This window comes from Homo sapiens, chromosome 12 (assembly GCF_000001405.40).
Source record: "Homo sapiens chromosome 12, GRCh38.p14 Primary Assembly".
In the NCBI taxonomy this organism is placed as follows: Eukaryota; Metazoa; Chordata; class Mammalia; order Primates; family Hominidae; genus Homo; species Homo sapiens.
In genome coordinates, this window is record NC_000012.12 from 22623761 (window position 1) to 22640601 (window position 16841).

Below are 16841 nucleotides of genomic sequence, written 5' to 3' on the forward strand. Positions count from 1 at the left end.
AAATTATGCCTAAATCTGGCAGGGCGCGGTGGCTCACGCCTGTAATCCCAGCACTTTGCGAGGCCGAGGTGGGTGGATCACCTGAGGTCAGGAGTTCGAGACCAGCCTGGCCAACATGGTGAAACCCATCTCTACTAAAGATACAAAAATTTGCTGGGCGTGGTGGCACGCGCCGGTAATCCCAGCTACTCGAGAGGCTGAAGCAGGAGAATCCCTTAAACCCGGGAGGCGGAGGTTGCAGTGGGCCAAGATCGCGCCATTGCACTCCAGCCTGGGCGACAGAGTGAGGCTCCGTCTCAAAAACAAAACAAAAAAAAACAGAAACAAAAAACAAACAAAAAAACCACTAAATTTGAAAAATGTTAAATCAACTTCTTTGCTGTATTATAAAGCTCCATTTCCACCCCTCTTTTTAGTTTAGGAAGTTTACCGTTATCGGTGAAGTAATTATTTTGTTAATTACAAAGGTAAGTAGGTTCTTTCTGAACAATCAGGATGTAAACTTAATGCTAGTGAAGTAATTAAACATTTTGAATGTTAATTAAACTCAGTCCAGTTAAGGGTTTTATTTACTACTAACAAACGTATTCACCGTGTGCTAAGTGCTGCAGGGAATCCCAGCCCGTTTTCCTCCATCTAAAAGGAAAATTAGGAGGTCCCAATACTTTACTTGTAGATTTTCCAGTTTCTACCATTCCCTGTAAGGCACTGAGACGCAAGATTTCAAGGCCCACTCGGGGTACCCTGGCATGGACATCGAGTCGTTCTAGCGCTGAGCTTCAAAACTATTCCTTTCCTTCCCTTTCTTCTTCATACCAGACTCTAATCTGTTCTCCCTAGCTTCGAATTATTCACTGTATGGTCGAACATCTTACTCCACAAATAACCTCTGAAGTGTTGCAGTTGTCTTACCCAAATACCTGAACTCAGCTTGTCCCGAGTACTGCGATCCCGCGTACTGCTAATGGGAATATAGTTAACCCAACTAGTATGAGGTCCCCAGTACACAGCAGCTCCAAGATCAAGGCGACCGAGTAACACTGCTTGCCTAGACTCAGGCCAAGTTCGGAGAGTGATCCTGGGGTTATTTTAGAACGTGTCCCTTGCTTCCCAGAAAAATTCAGTCGTTAACTCAAGTCCAGATGCCCAATGACCATTCGGATAAGGTGAGCTAAAGCTTCAATGCCTTGAGGGGCTTGGCAGGGCTCGGGCTCATCCCGGAGAAGCAGCCCCGCTTTCCAGACTAGCAGTTCCCAGGGATGGGTGTGTGCTAATCGCAGGCCAACAAGCCCAGCGCGGTACAGAGGTCCCATTGTGACCGGAGGCGAGAAACCCCGCCTCGGCACCCTGACGCAGCGCAGGACCCGCCCCGCGCGTGACGCCAGCGTCAGGCCAGCCCCGGCATGCTCTGCGGCCGCCCGCGGTCCAGCTCCGACAACAGGAATTTTCTCCGAGAGCGGGCCGGGCTCAGTTCAGCTGCTGTCCAGACCCGGATCGGCAACAGTGCCGCCTCCAGACGTTCTCCTGCCGCTCGCCCGCCCGTCCCAGCGCCCCCAGCCCTCCCGCGAGGGCGCCCCGGGACGGAAGGATCCACCAGTCTGTCGGCGCCCGCCGTTCTCGTGGTCGCCGTCGCCGTCGTCGTGGTGGTAGTCTCCGCCGTCGCCTGGGCCATGGCCAATTACATCCACGTCCCTCCCGGCTCCCCGGAGGTGCCCAAGCTGAACGTCACCGTTCAGGATCAGGAGGAGCATCGCTGCCGGGAGGGGGCCCTGAGCCTCCTGCAACACCTGCGGCCTCACTGGGACCCCCAGGAGGTGACCCTGCAGGTAACGCCCACACCTCAGCTCTGGGTCTCTTATGCCCCTCACGCGGCTCTGGGGGTCCTCACCACAATCGCCTCTGTCCCACGATGACCGAGGAGGACCTAGGGCAACATCTCCTTAAGTCTATTGGGAAGTGACCCTGTATTTCCCCTCACACCTAGGAGGGTCACTCCCCCTTCCCGTCGCAGTTGCTCTTTGAGATTGACCTGAGGCACATTTTCTCTTTCTAGAAGCCGCTGCGTAAGTGACGGACCCATCCACGGGGGGAGATTCCTGCTGATAGTTGCCCCTCCTCCCACTCCCCAGTCCACGGTCACTGCAAAATGAACCTTTCCACTCCCCTTGCACGGGGTCCTCGTCTACCTCCTCCCCTCCCACCAGTAATGCAGTCATTAATCCTCTCTGATCTTTCCTTCCTCTCCCCTCCCCCTGCGATGTGCTTTCATTGATGCCTCACACTGCGTTTTGTCTTCCCAAACCCTAGCGTACTCAATTCCCAAAGTAATGACCACGACCATGCATCGCTAGGTCGGTTCTTAGGCAGCACCACACACATTGTTTTGTTTGAGTCGATATTTCTGAATTATTAAAGTCGTCTTACTGAAATTAATACCTGATACTAGAAGGAGCAGTGGCTTGTGACTGTTTCCTTTTCATGAGACACCGTGTTGATAGAGAAAAAATTGGGAGGAAAAAAATCCCTGAGACTCTAGGAGTTTTCTAATAAGTTGGAAGTTATGATTTCCACTACGTGATTTTTTTTGAATACTAATCTGTTTTTAGCTTTAGTTTCAGGAACTAGATACAAAAATAGATCTCTTTTTCTCCTTTTCCCTTGCAAACAAAAAAAAACAGTAATTTTCAAGATTGGGATATTTGGGATTTGTTCTAAATCTGAGCAATAATGTAAGAACATTCATTTGAATTAGCCAAATCATCTGCCTCGTTTTGATGACTAATTTATTCACCAATATTTGTTGATTTATTTGCTAAATTCTTCGCTAAACTAGCCAGCCACCCACACAAAGATGAATAAAACATGAGCAGTGCCTAGGGCCCAGAACAGTTCCTGACACTTGGGTTTTCATGTGTTAGTTTCAGTTCTTATTACCTAGAAGAGTTTTTAAGCAGATTATTTTAAAGGACCCGTATGTTTTGGAGAAGAAACTTGTTAGACAACAAATTTTGAAATTTAAGGGAGTATTTGTTAGCCGAGAATATAGGAAATAGTGAATCCAAAGTGATTTTTATGTCATTTAAAAAATATATTTCCTTTAAAGGAAATGTGTCTTCCAAATTGAAATTCAGTACTTGTTTAGTTTATCAATTTGTTTGTATTTTATTATATAAGACTCTAAAATTTATTAAGATGATTTGTTTTCTGGCAGTCACTTATACATAAAACATTATTAATTAAAAAGTGCTACTTCCTGGTAAACTCTAGTGTTGGCAGATCAGTTACTTTTAAGCAGTGACTTTAAAGTTTAAAGCTTTGAAGACTGGAATTTCCTTTGATGTATTTGTCTGTAGAATAGTAATAATAGCTACTGTGGGGTTAGTTAAATTATTTTTTTTTTATCTTAGTCGCCCGAACAACCATATTAGGTAGGCACTATCATTTTAGGTGAAACTCAGTGAAGTAAGCCAGGATGTAGGTAAAAAAGGGCAAAATGTAGTGACATTAAACTGTTTTTGCTTGTTGGAAAGTAACTACGTGTGTTTAAATCTTGGTTTCTTGTAGCAACTTTTAACCTAAAGACCTTTGGGTTTATAATCCGAATTTTTAATATTTGTAAGTGCAGGTAAATACTACCATTTATTTTTCCCTAAGATGATTATTAGTTAGAAATACATTCCCTCCATGTGCAAGCAAAGCTTTGGTCTAGAAGCTGTCCTAAAAGCATCTGCTAAGCTGAATTGATGATTATTCACCTTTCAACTCAGTAGATCTGGCTCCTTGCATTCTAGGTCATTGCAAACACTACTTTCATAATGGTTCAGAATTTCTTTAGTAAATCTCAAAGGAAATATTTTCTTTTGAGATTTTACTGTATTTCCCTTGAAATAGATAAGAATCATACCTCACATTTCAGAGGAAGTATGTATTATATAGTCGACAGAGTATAATGTAATTTTAGAGCAGTCGAGTATCAGTAATGTAGCCTGTTTTTTTCTCAGTTTTTTTCTAACATTTTTGTATGTTTAAGATATACTTTAAATGTACTTTAGAAACTTACTGTAGTAATACTTATCTGGTGATTGATTATTCCTGCAAGCTGAACTATCCAGAGCATATCAGAAAATAAAAAGAAAAAAACAAGCTAAAAAAGACTTACTAGAGTCAAAATGATAGAAGGCCCAGTCTTTGCTCAGAATTTGTGGGTACATGGAGTAAATATATCTCATTTTAGACAGAATTCCTGTTCTTACTAGATTAAAAGAATAAATTATAAAGGAGATGGTGAGGTTTTCGGAGTATAGTAGCAGAATAGGCAGAGTAAATCTAAAACAACAATACAGCCACAGTGCTTTGTATTTAATAATCCTTTACTGTTTATAAAGCACTTTCACATGCATTCTCCCAACTATCCTGTGAGGTAGATGTAGACGGTACTGTTAATATGTATCATATAGTTAATGAAACTGAATTTGCCGTTTACAAATGGCAGATCTGAGATGATAAACCATCTTATGAATTATTGTTCTATGACCAAGAGTTTTGTTTGTATATTATGATTTAGGCAGGGAAGGTGCTTCTGTATAAAATTAATTTCTTAAAAGCTTTGGCTCATAAAAAGATTCTGCTTTAAAGTTCCCTTGAACATAAATTTGCATTACTTTTTTCATATGTGACACCATTTTAGGAAAAAGGGATTACTTAAGCTTTCCTTCACGAGTTACTTTTGTTGTGTAACAACTGTTTAACTTATTTGAAGATTTTGATTTTTAATTTTTATACTTTTCTTTGGAGAGTCATCGTATAAAGGAATAAAGAATCAAGTCAGATCTCAGGTCCATAATAATTCTCAACGGACTCTTAAAATTGTTTTTCATTTTCTGAAGAGCTGATGAATTAGTGTTTGGAATATTCCAGTTATGTTGTCTCAGGGTCTTTCTGTTTGCAGTATTAAGCAACGTTGTTTTTCTCACTAACTTGTCACTATGAATTTTTCCATTACTTGGGACTTATAGTAGATAATGGCAAAGGCTTCATAGGTAGGAATTAATACCGTAATTATTATTTAACATTACAAAACTAATATATTTATTCCTTTGTTGGGTCTAAATGAGATTGCTTGCTATATGGTACCTTATAGCAACTTAGCTTTTCAATAACAGTGTGTTACAGTGCTCAAGAGCATGGGGTTTGAACACAGTGCTAGTTTTGAGTCCAGATTCTATACTTTACTAGCTTTGTTACTCTGGTCAAATCATTAAACTTCCTGTCTCAGTATCCTGAGCTGTAAAATTGATCCAGTAGTTGTCCCTACCTCAATGGGTTATTGTGAGGGTAAAATAAATGCTGTCTTTCATGATAATTATTATTGCTGCTGAGCACCTACTATATATTGGATACTTGAATCAAAAAACAAATATTTGCTCTTTGAAATTCCTAGTCCGATGGGGAAGACAAATAAGAAAATTATAACAACGTAATGTTTATGGAATGAACATTCAAATTTAGTTCACATGCAAAGATTACCCAAGAAGTTTAAAAAATGTACTGTTCTTTCTGCTTTACTACAGGTTTTTGCCTGTTATTGAATGCATATTTTAAAAAATCTTTTCATCATTTTTTTAAGCATATGTATTCTATCATGGAAATTAATCTTTGTGTTAGGTTGTGTAGCTACACAGCAGTTTTCATATCCTTCCTCTTTCTAACAGTGTTGGAGGTAGTTACCTAAATAATCTATTAAAAACCTGTAACTCCTCTTAATATTGATAGTTGATATTTTATATTGGTCTTTGCCTTAAAGGAAGAAGAAAAAGCCAGATCTATACAATTGCTGTGTTAAGTTATGTCTCCACTAGTGTTCTGATATAATAATTGATTTTCTTTTCTGTTTTTAAAAAGATGAGTTTGTTCCTTTAAGCAGTAGCTTCTGAAAAGTCTTAGGTAAGCTAATGTAGTAAGTTACGGCTAATTTTTTAATATATTAAAAAAGTAAACAATATATTAGTTTACTTTCCCTAAGATTATAGGAAATCTTGAGTCCTGTAGATACAAATAAGGAGTCATGGTTTATATTCAGTGTAACTTTTAATGTTAGTGATTACATCCAGTTTTCTGTTTCCTATTCCCTCCCTGTCTTCAGCATTTTAGAATAATAAAGTATATAATGTTTAATAGACGCCCATCAAAAACATGAAATATTTGTTAGGCTCCCATGTATTTTATTAAGATGTGACTATGAAGACAGGAGCCTAAAGTGCTAGTTTGTTTTCCTGTATAATAGCCATGTAACTTGGACTACACAAACTGCGTCACATCTTTTTGGGGACTGAGCATAATGTGGAAAGAGGATGGTTTTTGAATATTATTTCCAGCCATTTATAACCTTTGGCAAGTTTTAAAGTCTCTATAAAATGGTATTACCTTGGAAAGTAGTCATGAGAATTCAATGAAATACCTACAATTACGCATCGCATGTTTTGGTACTACGTTCTTCCACCTCTCATTTCCAATTCTCCCATCCCAACTGAGAGAATTGTGAGCTCCTAAAATTCAGTAATTCTGACATGTGTTTTTTGTACTAGCTGTAATGCTAGTTTTCAGTAAGAGTCCTTGTACAACTAACTGTAGCACAAGGTAGGCATAGAAGAACGTAGGACAGAAGGCTTCATAGAGGTGGGGGTACCTGAGCTAAGCTTTGAAGGGTAGATGAGATCAGATTGAAAAGGGAAACATTTCTGAGCAAGGAAAACTATCTCACAAAGGCAATGAAGCTAGACTTTGAGTAGCTTACTCATCATTTAGGACATCATGGGAAGCCACTGGATATTTTTCTTTTTGTATTTTATTTTATTTTATTTTATTTTTTTTGAGACAGAGTCTCGCTGTAGCCCAGGCTGGAGTGCAGTGGTGTGATCTCAGCTCACTGCAACCTCCGTTTCCCAGGTTCAAGTGATTCTCGTGCCTCAGCCACCCAAGTAGCTTGGATTACAGATGTGCGCCACCATGCTCAGCTAATTTTTGTATTTTTAGTAGAGTCGGGGTTTCACCATGTTGGCCAGGCTGGTCTCGAATGCCTGACCTCAAGTGATCCACCCACCTCGGCCTCCCAAAATACTGGGATTACAGGCATGAGCCACCGCACCTGGCCTGGATATTTTTAAGCAGGTAAATTATATCATGTATTAGAGAAGTGACAGGCAACAATGTAGAGAAGGGTTGTTTGAGGGAAATGTTTTAAATTGGGAAATAATGATCACTCAGGACATTGGTTTTGAAACTAGTGGTTACCATACATTAATAGGATGCCAAATCAATATAGTGTCTTGAGACCATTACAGTTTAAAAAGATGAGTTAGAATAAGTTATGGTAGAGGTTACATCAGACAGAGCCTTGCAAGTAGTAAGGTAAGTACTCTTTTTTTTTTTTTTGAGATGGAGTTTCGCTCTTGTTGCCCAGGCTGGAGTGCAATGGCGTGATCTCGGCTCACCGCAACCTCTGCCTCCCAGGTTCAAGCGATTCTCCTGCCTCAGCCTCCAGAGTAGCTGGGATTACAGGCGCCTGCCACCACGCCTGGCTAATTTTTGTGTTTTTAGTAGAGACGGGGTTTCTTCATGTTGGTCAGGCTGGTCTCAAACTCCCGACCTCAGGTGATCCACCTTCCTCAACCTCCCAAAGTGCTGGGATTACAGGTGTGAGCCACTGCGCCCGGTGGTAAGTATTCTTTTGTGAAGTGTGCTTTAGTTTTATGTAAAAGTGTCTATGTACATATTATATCAAATGATAAATATATTTCTTCCTGTGTATTGCATTTAAAAAGTTTGAGAAAATAATTTGAGAGAGACTGTTGTGTTAGTCCAGACAAGAGGTGCTGGGGCCCAGATTAGGACAGATGAGATGGAAATAAGGTACAGATTTCACATTTCAGAAAATAAATGTGCAGGACTTGTCAATTGATTACAGGTTAGGGAAGAAAGAAGATTAAGGTGTTTTTTGTAGGGGAAGGAGTGGATGACAAAGATAGGGAAGTAGTAGAAGACCTTTAAGAAATCAGAGGTTCTATTTCTCTTTATTTTGTTTTCTAAGGAGTTATTTTACTCTTTGATATACCAGATTGGCTATAAATACATTTTTAACATTCTTTTAAAAATTGTGAAAAACAGCAAACATATAGAAAAATGGATGAATCATAAATTGTTGTAAAACATATACCCACCCCAACCCAGGAAAAGAAAATTAATTTCCAGCAACCAAGTGTCTTCATTTTCCTTCATAGTCTTGATCTCTCCCTCCCTCTAGTGGTAATCTTAATAGCAGATTTTTTTTTTTTCTAATTAACAAAATAGAATGTTTTGAATTAATTCTGTTTTGAAAATAAGTACTCTGAGAAAATAATAAGTGCATGAAGGTCTTTGTACAGGAAACCGTATGAACATGAAATAATTTAGTTTTACTAAAAGGTTGTACCACAATATTATATTAAAACTGAATAGGAGAAAAAAATCAATTTCCTATCATCAATATTCTATTCACAACCGTTTTATTTTTATTACCTTCTACTTCTCCTAAACATATTTTACATAGTTGCAATCATACGTATAATTTTATATTCTTTTTTTCACTAGCCCTTTATAAACATTTTCCCATGTTTGAATGGTATTGACTATAATTTTTGATAGTCACAAACCTAATATTTGATGATCATGTTAAACATAATGTGACTTAGTTATTATTTATTATTTTTTAAATTTTTACTTTTTTTTTTAAGAGATGGGGTCTCATACTGTTATCCAGGCTAGAGTGCAGTGATGCTATCATAGCTCACTGCAGCCTTGTACTCCTGAGCTCACGCGATCCCTTCTACATCAGCGTCCAGAGTACCTGAGACTAAAGGTGCATGCCTGCCTAATTTTTAAATTTTTTGTAGTGATGTGGTCTTGCTGTGTTACCAGGCTGGTCTTAAACTCCTGGCTTCAAGTGATCCTCTTGCCTCAGCCTCCCAAAGTGCTGGGATTACAGGTGTGAGCCACTGTGCCTTGTATCAGTGTTTTGCCTCTTTTTGAATTTTATTTAATGGCATCATATGAAATATGTGTTTTTTTAAAATTTTGGTTTGGCGTATGCCCAGATTTTGAGAGATTTATTCATGTGTATATAGTTGTAGTTCTTTTCCATGACCGACTAGCATTCCATTTTAAGAATATACCTCAATTTATATGTCTCCTACTGTTAATGGACACCTAGGTTGTTTTCATGTTTTGGCTATCACAAATTATGCTTCTTACAATTATACTTTTTTTGAACACGAATATCCATTTCTGTTAAGTGGATACCTAGAAGTAGAATTTCTGAGTCATCTAGTTGTGTATTTTCAGCTTTGTTAGACACTTTCAGTTTTCTGAAGTGATTGTCCCGGTTTATATTCCTAACAGCATTATGTGAGAGTTTCACTTATGGTATATCTTTACCAATAATTGCTATTGTCTGTCTTTATTTTTTTCTTTCACCACGTTGGCCAGGCTGGTCTTGAACTCCTGGCCTCAAGCAATCCACCTGCCTTGGCCTCCCAAAGTGCTGGGATTACAGGCGCAAGCCACCGCACCCGGCCTGTTCTTTTCTTTTGGTCTGTTTTGTCCGTTACTGTAGCAGTACCACTCTGTGTGGATTACTCTCAATCATTGCTACAGGACTTGGTATTTGATGTAGTTATTATAGGCTTTGGTGTAGGACTCCAGCTTTGTTCGTTTTTAAGATTGCCGTGACTATTCTTGACTTTTTAAGTTGCCATATAAGTTGTAGACTCAATTTTGGGATTCCCACAAAAGAAACTGGATAGGATTTTGATTATATTTTGTGGAATCAGTAGATAAATTTGGGGAGAAGTGAATTCTTTTAACAATATTGAATCTTAAAATAAATTTTTAATTTCTCTCAAACTTTTGAAGTTTTCACTGTGGAGATCTCACGTGTTTTATTTGATTTATCCCTAGGTGTTGACGCTTTTTGATATTATTGTAAAGGGTATCATTTAAAAAATTACTTTATTGTTGGTATATAGGATTATAATTAATTGCTTTATACTGAATTTTTTTCACACACTCTAAAGGTTTTTATGTAGATTATTTTGTATTTTCTCTATGTATAATCTGAAAATAATACATATTGCTGTCTCCCCTTCTGTCTTTTTGTCTTACTGCACTAGTAAGGACCTCTCTAACACACTTGAAAAAGAAGATAAAAGGTGATAGTGGTCATTTTTATTTCCCAGTCTTAAGGAGAACATTTTCAATAATTTATTGTTAGGTATGATATATGCTATAGATTTTCTTTAATGACTCTACCAGATTAAGCAAGTTTCTTTTTATTCTTAGTTTGTTAAGTATTTTCATCATGAATGATGAATTTGGCCAAATGTTTTTTCTGCATTTCATGATGATTATAAGATTTTTCTTAATTTTTCTCTTATTGAGGTGAATTACTTTGATTGAAAAAAAATTTGAATGCTAAGTAACCTTTGCATTCCTGGAGAAAACCCTATTTGGTTGTATATAGTCTCTTTTTTATTACTGTATCAATTGCTAATATTTTGATTAGGATTTTTGCAGCTCTGCTTATGAAAGAGATTGGTTTGTAATTTTCCTTTCTTATAGTGTCCTTGACAAGTTTTGGTACCAAGTTCAGAGGTGTTTCTTCTTTTTCTATTTTTGGAAGAGTTGCTTTTAATAATACATGTTTAAGGTCTGTAGTGAAGTTCATTTCTTTATCATTTGTGTTGCTTTATTGTCTTCATACATTTTGCTAAGAAGTTATCAACTGTATTAATCTTTTCAAAGAACAATTTTTGTTTGTTTTGAGGCTGGGTCTCACTCTGTTGCCCAGGATTGAGTGCAGTGGTGCGATCATGGCCCACTACAGCCTCGACCATGTGCTCGCCCCATGCCCGGCTAATTTTTGTATTTATTTATTTATTTATTTGTACAGATGGGATTTCATCATGTTGCCCAGGCTGGTCTTGAACTCCTGAGTTCAAGTAATCTGCTCACCTTGGCCTCCCAAAGTGTTGGGATTACAGGCATAAGCCATCACATCTGGCCCAAATAATAATTTTTGACTGTTGAGTTTTTCTATTTTATTGATAGTTTTGTCCTTCATTATTTCCTTCCTAATCGTTTTTTGAAGGTTGATTGGCTGTTATTTTTCTAGCTTCTTGAGCTGGAAGCACTAATTTTTTGCCTTTTAAATTTCTATTATTCATTACATGTCTTTGTAAGTACCCACAAGTCTTGACATGTGTTGGAAAAGGCGGTCTCATGCACACAGCCTTTCCACCCCTTCTCACCAAATAAAAATGGGCCTTGGGCCTGAAACACTTTCTTACCAAGCGATAGAGTCCTCACAGCCTGTGCTGGACCTGTCACTCTGTGTGAAATATTTTTCCCTGTTTTACACTCAGTGTGTCCTCCTTTGCTCTGCTTCAGTATGTGTGTCATATGTCACCTGGCTCACCTTCAGTATCTCCCCATTGGGAAGGGGATGGAGGGACAGGGTTGGTCTGCTGTAGCCCAAGAAGGGTGTGTGTAGACCAGTTGTTGGCATCAGCTGCTGGGAGGAACTTGCTCACCATGGGATACCAACACCTATTACTGAAGCTGATCTTGCTTTGTCTCCTCTCTGTGTAAGTAAAGCGTTGTTCCATGCAGTGCTTGACTGTGCATCGTGTTTTCTTTGGTGACTATGATACCAAGATACAATGAACAGAAGTTCTAAGACTTCTACTCCTGATATTAGGTGACAGATACCACTTGCTTGACAATATGTGTTTATTATCATTCAGTTCAAAATGTTTTCTAATTGCCATTGTGGTGGTTTTTTCTTTATCTCACTCATTTTACATATGTATTTGATTCATTTCCAATGAGTTGATGCATATTTAATTTTTTAAAAAAATTGTTATAAAAACATAAAAATTTATTATCTTAACCGGTTTTATTTGGTGTGTGTGTTATTGCTATCTAGCTCATATCCACTGTAGTTTGAGATGATACTCTAAGTGATTTTCATCCTTTGATATTTGTTGAGGCTTGCTTTATAATGAAGCCCATAGTCAATTTTGGTAATGTTTTGTGTAGTCTTGAAAAGAATGTATGTTCTTGGCCAGGCACAGCCCAGCACTTTGGGAGCCTGAGGTGGGCAGACTGTTTGATTCCAGGAATTCAAGATTAGTCTGGCCAACCCTGTCTCTACAAAAAAAATGCAAAAAGTTAGTGGTGATGCATGCCTTAGTCCCAGCTACTCGGGTGGCTGAGGTGGGAGGATTGCTTCAGCCTGGGAGGTTGAGGCTGCAGTGAGCTGTGATTGTGTCACTGCACTGCAGCCTGGGTGAACAGAGTGGGACCCTCTCTCAAAAAAAGGTAAGAAAAAGAATATTCTGTTGTTGAGTGTAGTGTTCTGTGTATGTCAGTTAAGTTGAATTTTTAATTTTGTTGTTTAGAGCTCTTACTACATAATGATTTTTCTCTGCTAAAAAAAAATGAGGTCTTGGAAAAAAATAGTGTCATCTATAAGCATTAAAAAAATTAAAAATGAGGTCCTGAATGGTGTGCTCAAATTTCCAACATTTATTATGGGATTTGTTTAATTCTGTAAGTTTTTGCTCTATATCTTTTGAAGCTGTATTGTTGGATACATGCACATTTAGAATTTTTATATCTTCTTGGTGGATCAATCCCTTAGTCATTATAAAATGTCCCTCCTTATCTTTAGTAATATTTCATTAAGGTCTATTTTATTTGATATGAGATAGCTACCTCAGCTTCCTTCTCTATGTCTTTTGTAAGCAGCATATAGAGTTGTCCTTTCATATCCATGACTTCTGCATCCATGGATTCAAGCAACTGCAGATTGAAAATATTAAGAGAAAAAAAAGATGGTTGTTTCTGTACTGAACATGTGCAGATATTTTTTCTTGTCATTATTCCTTAATACAGTATAACAACTATTTACATAACATCTACATTGTATTAGGTATTAGAAGTAATCTAGTGATGATTTAAAGTATATGGCAGAATATAAATAGGTTATGTGCAAATACTACATCATTCTATACAACAGGCTTTCAGAACGTGTAAAATAATATGAACAAAAAAATTTAAATCAAAATATAACAGGCTTGAGCATTTGTAGATTTTGGCATTGTTGCGGGGGTGGGATCCTGCACCGAATCCCCCTCGGATACCAAGGGGATACAGTGGGACCATTTGCAGATCCTCTAGAGTGCTCTCTCCTGTCTGTCTCCCTGTCTTTCCGCTTTAATACTCTGTCCTGCATACTCTAGCTGTTTTGATATCCTCCGATGCTCAGTTTATCTCAATTAATGAAGTCCACACAAGCTCCATCTGGATTCTCTTTCCCTTTGCTGGGACCTGAGAATTCTCTCAAGACATTAAGCCGGGGCAGTCATAGAGTTCACGTTGTTTGTTTCCCATCTCTCAGGGATCACTGTTCTCTCTAAAGTCCATTGTCTTAAAAATTGTCATTTCATATGTTTTGTCTGGTTTTTATTTGTGGGAGAGGGGTTGTTTCAAGTAAAAGGGTAAAATCCTGTCCCCATTACTTTGCCTTGGCCAAGAGTGAAAGTGGCCCATTAGATGATTTTTATCAGTGATTTTCAACCTTTTCTACAGGGTTAGAATTCTTTGTTCAAGTAAAATCTTATCCCCAAGTGTCATGTGTATGTGAAATAAATGAGGGCAAGATGGTGGTAGTGTAGTATATGTGCACATGTGCCTTTGTATGTGTTGGGGATATAGCAGAGCTTTTTTGCTGACTTGGATTCCTATTCCCATTCCTTGAGGGCTTTATAGCCCAATTTGAAAGTCACTAATATAGAGAGTACAAATAGGTATATAAAAAAGTAAGCAAATGAGAAAATAAGCCAGTTATTAGTTACAGAGGAAACAAACTATCCAGGAAAGGAAATTTACAGTATATCTCATTTTGGGGTTTGGAAGGATGTGTACAAAATAGTGTAATTGAAAATTGATAAAATAAAAAATCTTATATACTTATATTGGGTAAAGGAAGATAGGAGAAGTGACAGAGCGAGAGAGAGAGAGTGTTTATGTGTGAAGGAAATAAGAAAGCTCAGTCTTATAAGAAGTCTCAGATAATGTGTAGACTTTACAGAAAAGCAGTTTAAGAATGGTATTTAAAAATAAGGAATTAAATAACATGAGAGTTGAAAGGTAGTTTAGGGGGAGGTCTATTGTTGATTGATAAAAATAAAAATTACAAAAAAAAAGCATATGGTAGGTTTGGAAGTGGAAATAATTGAATACAAAATTCTCTTGCAAGAAATTTGGCAGAGAAGGGAAGGAGAAAGAAGTTGGCCTCTAGAAGTGGGTGGGATACATGGCCACATAATCTGTTTTTCCATCTCAAAACACTTGGACCTTTTAACTTTTTTCCCCCTTTTTAACCTGTCTTTAAGGTGGGGTTTTTTTTTTTTTTGAGACGGAGTCTCACTTTGTCTCCCAGGCTGGAGTGCAGTGGAGCGATCTTGGCTCACCGCAACCTTTGCCTCCAGGGTTTAAATGATTCTCCTGCCTCAGCCTCCCTAGTAGCTGGAATTACAGGCATGAAACACCACACCCAGCTAATTTTTGTATTTTTAGTAGAGACAGTGTTTCACCATATTGACCAGGCTGGTCTCGAACTCCTGACCTCAAGTGATCCACCTGCTTCGGCCTCCCAAAGTGCTGGGATCACAGGCATGAGCCATCACGCTTGGCCTGTCTTTAAGTTTTATCATTTATTTGTTTTGGAATCTGCTAGCAAGTGAATCTTACATACTTGTGCTATATTATATTATATAATTCTCTAATAGAGGCTCTAGGATTTCTCATTGATGCTTTTATGTTTTGTAATTCTCTAATAGAAGCTCTAGAGTTCCTCACTTATGCTTTGATTAGTTGTATCATGCAAGTTAAAAATTATAATTTTGTAACATACCCAAATTGAGAGAATAAAATATTCATATATTATCCAGAATCCGTATTTGCTTCATTTTTTAACCCCTTTAAAGTATTTTAAAGCAAATCTCAGTCAGACCTTGTCTTTGTCTTTGTGTATTTCAGTATAAATTTGTAAACATAAAAAGTTATTTTTTTTGCGTGATCACAGCACCATTAGAACACTGAGCAAAATTAGCAGTAATGTCTAAGTACTGTTTAATAGTCAGTTCATAATAAAATTTTACCTCAAAAAGTATTTTTATACGTATTTGTTTGAGTTAGGAAACAAACTAGATCCATGCGTTTGTATGTTTCATAAGCCTCTTTAAACTAGACTGTATGCTATTGACTATTTATTGGTGGGGCGTTTGTGTAGAAAGACCTACATTCTGGATTTGTATATTTTTTGTTGTTCTTCTTTGTGGTGTTTTTTAATTTTTAATTAATTAATTTATTTTTTTAGAGAAGTGGGGTTTTACCACGTTGGCCAGGGTTGTCTTGAACTCCTGACCCCAAGTGATCCTCCTGGCTCCCAAAGGGTTGGGATTATAGGCATGAGCCACCATGGCCAGCCATGTGGTGTTTCTTTAACCCCTATATTTTCTTAAGAATAGGAAGATCTGGCCGGGCGCTGTGGCTCACACATGTAATCCTAGCACTTTGGGAGGCCGAGGCGGGTGGATCACCTGAGATCAGGAGCTCTAGACCAGCCTGGCCAACATGGCGAAACCCCATCTCTACTAAAAATACAAAAATTAGCCAGACATAGTGGCAGGCACCTGTAATCCCAGCTACTTGGGAGGCTGAGGCAGGAGAGTCACTTGAACCTGGGGGGCGGAGGTTGCAGTGAGCCGAGATCGTGCCACTTCACTCCAACCTGGGCAAAAGACTGAGACTCTCAAAAAAAAAAAGAGGAAGATCTAGAACCTTGATTAGATTTCAAATCATAGGTAGTGCAGTGTATTTCATATTGCATCACATCAGAAGGTATAACATGTCAGGTTGTTTCGTGAAATCAGGAGGTGACAGATGACTCCTACCATTATAAAATTACCTATCAATCTTTCATCTAATGGTTTTATTCATTGAAGATTGTTTCCTGAATACTTTTTCTGTTGTATCCTCCACATTTGTCAACGGGAATTCTTTGGTAGATAACTTTCTCTCATTAATTAGATCGGTTTGGATATTATGAAATACAGTTTGTAGAAAATGTAGGATAAATGCTTAATTCTATTTTAATTGCCAATTTTCAGAGTAACAGTGATAACTTCATCAATATTAAGCAATTAAAAAGTAGACCCTTGGGTTGTTGGAATTTGTTAAAGGGTAAGTTTAAATTGTATTTTTAACCAATATAGATGTTGTTTTTAAAAATTATGTGATGAGGTAAGGCAGAGAACAAATTGAGAATCCATTATTAATTTCCCTAGTATTTAAAAGCTGTTAATATTTAAACTAAAGATTAGAAGTGATTAGTAGCTAAATTTACTAGCTTAGTAGTATACATTTTAGGGATTAAAGTTTAACAGGATATAATTCGTCATGCAAAACCAAACGCATATAGGGTAGTACTAACTTGAGAGAGTAACGTTGAATGGCATTTCTAACTAAATTGAAAGCCTTTTTTTTTTTTTTTTTAAGATGTGAAAGAGAATTTGCCCAGAAATGATATTTAACATTTAGCTATTTGGATTTAAGCTACTTTTAGAGACATATTGAAATTGTTGTTTTTAAATATTGTTTTAACATATATTTTAGTCTTAATTATTATTTTATAATTTCATCATTACTTTGCTGTTTTTTATTGAAATTTAAATGTATCATTG

General features: G+C 37.6%; 1 protein-coding gene and 1 long non-coding RNA gene across 8 annotated transcripts in view, besides 3 other annotated features; one reads left to right on the forward strand and one right to left on the reverse strand.

The window, feature by feature from the left end:
* ETNK1-DT (ETNK1 divergent transcript) overlaps nucleotides 1–1286 on the reverse strand; it is a 36040-nt gene extending 34754 nt beyond the window's left edge. The window contains exon 1 of one of the 2 annotated variants that reach the window (NR_135030.1): nucleotides 913–1286. This is a non-coding gene — a long non-coding RNA (ETNK1 divergent transcript). The remainder of the gene's footprint in view (nucleotides 1–912) is intronic. The other variant, NR_135031.1, reaches the window with a different exon arrangement.
* Nucleotides 1056–1125: an enhancer, noted in NCBI's record as "active region_6099". NCBI's record gives its function as "activates an Ori minimal core promoter by ATAC-STARR-seq in GM12878 lymphoblastoid cells {active_cell/tissue: GM12878}" and the evidence as "EXISTENCE:reporter gene assay evidence [ECO:0000049][PMID:35858748]".
* The window catches only part of ETNK1 (ethanolamine kinase 1), a 65495-nt gene continuing 50064 nt past the window's right edge, over nucleotides 1411–16841 (forward strand). For all 6 annotated transcript variants that reach the window (NM_018638.5, XM_017019580.2, XM_047429100.1 and 3 more), the window contains exon 1: nucleotides 1411–1826. In NM_018638.5, the coding sequence (NP_061108.3) occupies nucleotides 1671–1826 (156 nt within the window). In that variant the 5' untranslated portion in view covers nucleotides 1411–1670. The remainder of the gene's footprint in view (nucleotides 1827–16841) is intronic.
* Nucleotides 1656–1825: an enhancer, noted in NCBI's record as "active region_6100". NCBI's record gives its function as "activates an Ori minimal core promoter by ATAC-STARR-seq in GM12878 lymphoblastoid cells {active_cell/tissue: GM12878}" and the evidence as "EXISTENCE:reporter gene assay evidence [ECO:0000049][PMID:35858748]".
* Nucleotides 1845–2534: an enhancer, noted in NCBI's record as "NANOG-H3K27ac hESC enhancer chr12:22778539-22779228 (GRCh37/hg19 assembly coordinates)". NCBI's record gives its function as "activates a minimal SCP1, AML or CMV promoter by ChIP-STARR-seq in naive H9 embryonic stem cells {active_cell/tissue: H9 hESC(naive)}" and the evidence as "EXISTENCE:reporter gene assay evidence [ECO:0000049][PMID:30033119]".